The sequence below is a fragment of the Homo sapiens genome, chromosome X, assembly GCF_000001405.40.
Source record: "Homo sapiens chromosome X, GRCh38.p14 Primary Assembly".
NCBI classification, from domain to species: Eukaryota; Metazoa; Chordata; class Mammalia; order Primates; family Hominidae; genus Homo; species Homo sapiens.
In genome coordinates this window covers 124,171,940-124,178,759 of record NC_000023.11, presented here as the reverse complement: position 1 = coordinate 124,178,759, position 6,820 = coordinate 124,171,940, and the positions used below count along the sequence as shown (strand labels likewise).

General features: G+C 43.6%; 1 pseudogene; it reads left to right on the top strand.

Annotated features, from left to right (window-relative positions):
• Nucleotides 4,062–6,025, top strand: ZIK1P1 (zinc finger protein interacting with K protein 1 pseudogene 1; annotated as a pseudogene).

Here is a 6,820-nt window from a genome sequence, read left to right as displayed (position 1 = left end):
ATGCCTGTAATCCCAGCACTGTGGGAGGCCGAGGTGGGCAGATCACTTGAGGTCAGGAGTTCGAGACCAGCCTGGCTAACATGGTGAAACCCCATCTCTACTAAAAACAGAAAAATTAGCTGGGTGTGGTGGCACACGCCTGTAGTCCTAGCTACTTGGGAGGCCAAGGTATGAAAATCACTTGAAATTGGGAGACAGAGGTTGCAGTGGTGTGATCTCTGCTCACTGCAACCTCCACCTCCTGGGTTCAAGTGATTCTCCTGTCTCAGCCTCTGCAGTAGCTGGGATTATAGGCATGCACCACCATGCCCAGCTAATTTTTAGTAAAGACAGGGTTTCACCATGTTGGCCAGGTTGGTCTCGAACTCCTGATCTCAAGTGATACACCGGCCTTGGCCTCCCAAAGTGCTGGGATTACAGGCATAAGCCACCACGCCTGGCCTGGATCCTGGATTTTTAAAAACTGTATAGAACATTATTGGAACAATTGGAAAATTTTCCATATGGACTTAGTATTTGGTAATAATATTGTACTAATGTTAAAATCCTGAACTGTAATAATTAAGTTATGGTTATGTAGGAGAATGTCCTTGTTCTTAGGCAATATATCCTGAAAATGTTAGGAGTGAAGTGGCATAATGTCAGTAACATACTCTTTTTTGTTTTATTTTGGGCTTTGTGTGTGTGTGTGTGTGTGTGTGTGTGTGTGTGACAGGGTCTTGCTCTGTTGCCCAGACTGCAGTGCAGCAGTGTGATCATAGCTCACTGTAGCCTTGACCTCCCAGGCTCAAGCAATGATCCTCCTGCTTCAGCCGCCTGAGTAGCTGGGACTACAGGCACATACCACCATGCCCAGCTAATTTTCTTATTTTTATTTTTGTTGAGAAAGGGATCTTACTATGTTGCCCATGCTCACCTCGAACTCCTAAGCTCAAATGATCCTTCTGCCTCAGCCTCCTATAGTGCCAGGATTACAGGCATGAGCGATTGCGCCCAGCCAGCAGCAATATGCTTTAATTGGTTTAGCATGAACAAGAAATAGAAAAAGAAGAGGAGGAAGAGGAGGAGAAAGAGAAGGAGGCAGCAGTGGCCTTGGTAGGAGACAGAGAGGAAGAGGAAGAACAGAGGAAGAAAAAGGGGGAAAAGATGAGAAGAAAAAAGAGAAACTGTGGCAAAACATTAACAATTAGTGAATCCAAATAAAGAGTATACAGGTGTTTATTGTCCAATTCTTTCCACTTCTCTGTAGTTTGAAATATTCAAAATATAGGAAAAAGTTACACAAATGAAAACAACAATAAGACAAAGCAAAAAGGTTGATTCGGGGTGAAAAAAAGAAACAATAAGCCATGTGCAGTGGCTCAGGCCTGTAATCCCAGCACTTTGGGAGGCCAGGACAGTAGGATCAGTTGAGTCCAGGAGTTCAAATCCAGCCTGAGAAGGATAGTGAGACCCCCATCTCTACAAAAACTTTTAAAACAAATTAGCCAAGCATGGTAGTGTGCACCTGTTGTCCCTGCTACTTGGGAGGCTGAGGTAGGAGGATCGCTTGAGCCCAGGAGGTTGAGGCTGCAGTGACCTGTGATCATGTCACTGCACTCCAGCCTGGGCAACAGAGTGAGATCCTGTCTCAAAGAAAAAAAAATGAAACAATAAGAGAACAATCATGACATTGTTAAATTTTACATGTATTTTTTTAAGTAGTTCTAAGTAAAAAAATTGAAGTGAAATATATTTTTAGACAAGCAAAACGTGAGAGTTTGCTAGCAGTAGACTCACACTACAGGTAATTCTAAATGATGTACCTGAGAAAGAAAAATTATTCTAAATGTCAAAGCTGAGATTTTTTTCTTTACTTTTTTTTAAAGACGGAGTCTCACTCTGTCACCCAAGCGGGAGTGCAGTGGTGTAATCTTGGCTCAGCCATGAATTCCTGGGCTCAGTGATCCTCCTGCCTCATCCTCCCAAGTAGCTGGGACTACAGTCATGCACCGCCACACCTGGCCAATTTTTTATTTTTGCTAGAGATGGGGTCTCATTATGTTGCCCAGGCTGGTCTTAAAGTCTTGAACCCCTGGCCTCAAGTGATCCTCCCACCTCAGCCTCGCAAAGTGCTCAAATTACAGGCATGAGCCACTATGCCCAGCCAGAACTGAGATTTTTTTTTTTTTAACGAAGAGCAAAGAAAATACTATGTGGGCAAATGGATATTGACTATATAAAACAATATTAATAATTTTTATGGAAATTTATAAAAATTAAAATATTTAATAACATGATGCATTTCTCCAGATAGGAAAAACACAGGCTAATTTTGATAACTGAATCAGATACACCATAACTGGAAATAGTCATGAGGAATACTCAATATCAAATATAAGAGTATTACAGTATTTTAGCATATCAATTCCTTAAATATACTGTAAAAGAAAGAACTAAAAGGATAAAGTTTAAAATAAAAGGTTGTTTATTTATTTGGTTGGATTTTATTTTATTTTATTTTGAGACAGGGTCTCGCTCTGTCACCCAGGCTGGAGTGCAGTGGTGCAAACTTGGCTCATTGCAATCTCCACCTCCCGGTTTCAAGCGATTTTCATACCTCAGCTTCCCAAGTAGCTAGGACTACAGGCACGTGCCACCATGCCTGGCTAATTTTTGTATTTTTAGTAGAGATGGGGTTTTGCCATGTTAGCCAGGCTGGTCTCGAACTCCTGACCTCAAGTGATCTGCCCACCTCGGCCTCCCACAGTGCTGGGATTACAGGCATGAGCCACCACACTCGGCCTTGTTTGGTTGGTTTTTAAAGATGGGGTCTCACTATGTTGCCCAGGCTGGAGTGCGATGGCTATTTACAGCTATGATCATACAAAATATATAGCATTTAAAAAATCAATATCATATGAAGCAAATTTTATTTTAAACATGAGTCTGCAGAGAAGGCTTTTTTTTATTTTTTATAAACTTTTATTTTGACGTAATTTTAGAGTTATAGAAAAGTTGTAAGAATACTAAAAAAGAATTATGGCATACCCTTCACCAAAATTTCCCAAATGTAATGCGAGATGTTACCACATCTCTCTCTCTCTTTTTCTCTTTTTATACAAACACACGCGCGCACACACACACACACACACACACAAATAAATATAACTAGAAAATATCTATGTGCTCAGAAGTCTTAAAATAGACTTCCAAACAACTCAAAGACTTTTTAAAAAGAAATCATAGATCCATGTGGTGACGACACGCTCTCCCAGGCCAGGCCTGAGGGGAAAAAAAAGAAATCACAGATCATAATTAAATAAGAAATATTTTCAACTGAATGATAAAAAAATCTAAGTATAAAATCTTGTGGGATTTACCCACTAACAAAATTAAACAGATGTTACTCTCCTGCCTTATTTGCTATACATGTTTATTTATATTTTAATGCTGTATTTGTAAGAAATAAAATGTTACATCTATATTCCTTCATCATCCCTTCCTTCTCTAAAGTAACTACTATCCTAAAACTGGTGTGTATCTTTCCTATGCCTGATTTGCACTTTTACTATAAATAAATGCACTCATCAACAAGAAATAATTTTGTAACATCAATATTTTAACTTACGGGAAATACCAGTGCTTACAGCAAGTTTTTAGCCTTAAATATTAGGATAAACCGTATAAAGTTGCAATATTTGATCATTATTTACCTATACAAAAGAGGCCGGGCGCAGTGGCTTACGCCTGTAATCCCATCACTTTGGGAGGCTGAGGCGGGTGGATCACCTGAGGTCAGGATTTTGAGACCAGCCTGACCAACATGGTGAAACCCCGTCTCTACTAAAAATACAAAAATTAGCTGGGCGTGGTGGTGGGTGCCTGTAATCCCAGCTACTTGGGAGGCTGAGTCAGGAGAATCGCTTGAACCCAGGAGGCGGAGGTTGCAGTGAGCCGAGATCGCGCCATTGCACTCCAGCCTGGGCGACAGAGCGAGACTCTGTCTCAAAAAAAAAAAAAAAAAAAAAAAAAAAAAGACAGGGTATTGCTCCAGTGACAGTCATTTTAGCAGCTCTTGAGTCCATCCAGGCCGTCAGAGCTTTGGGAGCGCATCGTTTGGCGAGAGGGCAGGAAGGGGCGAGGGGAGGGGCCCTCCTGCTGAACAGTGGCGGGTATGGGGGTCGGCGGCGGCGGGGGTGACAGCTTTGCTCGGGTCACCGCGCTGGTCTTGGTCCTTGTCCCGGTCCCGGTCCAGGTCCCGCACCGTCCACAGGTTCCAATGGCAGCGGCAGAACTGAGGGCCCTGGCTCAGGTTACCATGACTACAGAAGAACATATAAATCTCACAAAGGGCTGTATGACCTTTGAGGACATCGCCATTTACTTCTCACAGGACGAGTAGGGACTGCCTGATGAGGCTTGGAGGCTCCTATACCTTGAAGTGATGCTGGAGAACTTTGCACTTGTATTTTACCCAGGATTTTGTACAGAAATACTGGGCGTGGTGGAGCCTGCAGCAAACTAGTTGGAATGTGCCTCTTGTAAAAGTAGCCTCACTGGGTTGTGGGCATGGTAAAGAGGATGAAGAGACACCTTCTGAGCAGAATGTTTCTGTGGGAGTGTCACAGTTTAAGGCAGGTTCATCCACACTGAAGACTCAACCCCGGGAGATATATGTTCCATTCCTGAAAGATATCTTGCCTCTGGCTAATCTCCCTGGGCGGGAACCTTACTTGGTTGGAGCACGTGCAAACCAGTACCAGCACCAGAAACATCACAGTGCAAAGAAATCCTTGAAGAGGGACATGGACAGAGCCTCGTAAGTGAAGCACTGCCTTTTCCATATGTCAGGGAAGCCCTTCCGCAAATGCGAGGTTGGGAAGGACCTCCCAGCCATCTTGGGGCTTCTAGGTCCCTGGTCTTTCCTAAAACTGAGAAGCCCAACACGATCACCAAATGTGGAGAGGACACTCACAGTCAAAAAAGTCATTACAAGTCAGGTCAGTGTGGGAAGGCTTCCAGGCACAAGCACTCCTGTTCACTGTCTAAGAGTTTACACTGGACAAAGCCTTTATGAGTGTATCAAATGTGGGAAAGCTGGCTGGGCGCAGTGGCTTACACCTGTAATCCCAACACTTTTCAAGGCCGAGGTGGGCGGATCACCTGAGGTCAGGAGTTTGAGACCAGCCTGGCCAATATGGTGAAACCCTCTCTACTAAAAATACAAAAAAAAAAAAAATTAGCCAGGTGTGGTGGTGTGCACCTGTAGTCCCAGCTACTTGGGAGGCTGAGGTAGGAGAATTGCTTGAACCCAGGAGGCAAAGGTTGCAGTGAGCTGACATCACATCACTGCACTCTAGCCTGGACAACAGAGTGAAAGTCTGTCTCAAAAACAAAAAACAAAACAAAACAAAAAATGGCAAATGTGGGGAAGCCTTCTGTGGCAAGTACTCACTTGTTTAGCACCAGAGAGTTCACACTGGAGAAAGGCCTCCATCCTTATTCAACATGGGAGAATTCATATTGGAGCAAGGCCTTATGAGTGTGGCCAGCATGGAAAGTTCTTTAGTCAAAAGTCTGGCCTTATTCAACACCAGGTGGTTCTCACTGGAGAAAGGCCTTATGAGTGCAACCAATGTGGGAATTCCTTTAGCCAGTGCGCCAGCCTCATTCATCACCAAAAATGTCATAACACGTGGAGGCCTCATGAATGCAGCAAATGTGGAAGAGTGTTTACCTTCAAGATCTATCATCTTTTAGCTCCTGAAAGTCCACACTTCAGAAGAGCCTTAGACCTAGAGAGAATGTGCTGTCTCTGTAGTATTGTGGCAGTGGAGAGCCTTTAGGAGGGAGCCACCTGCCTGAAGTTGAACCTTATGCTTCCAAGTTTCTTTGGTAGAAACCGTCTCCCCTCTACCACCTTGCACAGTAGGCATTGGTCACCCTGATATTCTGAGGCAAGGCAGACATCTGTGTGTTCTTTTCTTCTTTGGAGGAAATCTTGAGCAGTCTGAGCCTATTGGGGAAATTCATTCTCTTTTCTGACTGATCACAGCACACATCTGACCCAGTTTTGGTCAGGAGGTCCCAGCCTGGGTTCTGGTGGAAGAAGGCTTCCCTTCATGGAAATTCTTGGTCTCACACGACTCTTGGTCATTCTTCCAGCCTCCAAGTCACCACCTGGCAACTGGCTGCCTCACATTGTTCCAGTTTGTGCACTAACAAAGGCGCTCTCTCTCTCTCTCTCTCTCTCTCTATATATATATATATATATATATATATATACCTTTTTTTTAGACAGGGTCTCCCTCTGTCACCCAGGCTGGAGTGCAGTGGTGAGATTTCAGCTCACTGCAACCTCCACCTCCCAGGTTCAAACAATTATCACACCTCAGCCTCCTGAGTAGCTGGGACTACAGGCATGCACCACCACTAAAGGCCTTATATTTGAATCTACCTGTAATCTTGGGGTTTTGTTTACTATGTGGGGTGGGTGGCAAACAGACTTGAACTCTATATGAAGGAGTGGACAGCTTTTGTGGGCCTCTACAGAAAAAGTAAAATGACAGAGTAATTCTCACTCTGATTTTGGTCATATTTGTTTTGCTACCTAAGATCTCCTAGGAAACAATGCAAGGTTTTGGTTATTCTAATTTGTGGCCTGGAGCCTATACTTTCTGTGAGACTAGAGGTTATCCTGAGGAAAAGCCAGCTATTATGACAAGCACCTGTGCTTCGGGGAATAGGACAAATTTGTTCCATTGTTCCTAGAGGACGTCATATGATGCCCAGGACTGTTGAGAAGTTTTTCACAAGATTCTATAAGGAGACATGCCCT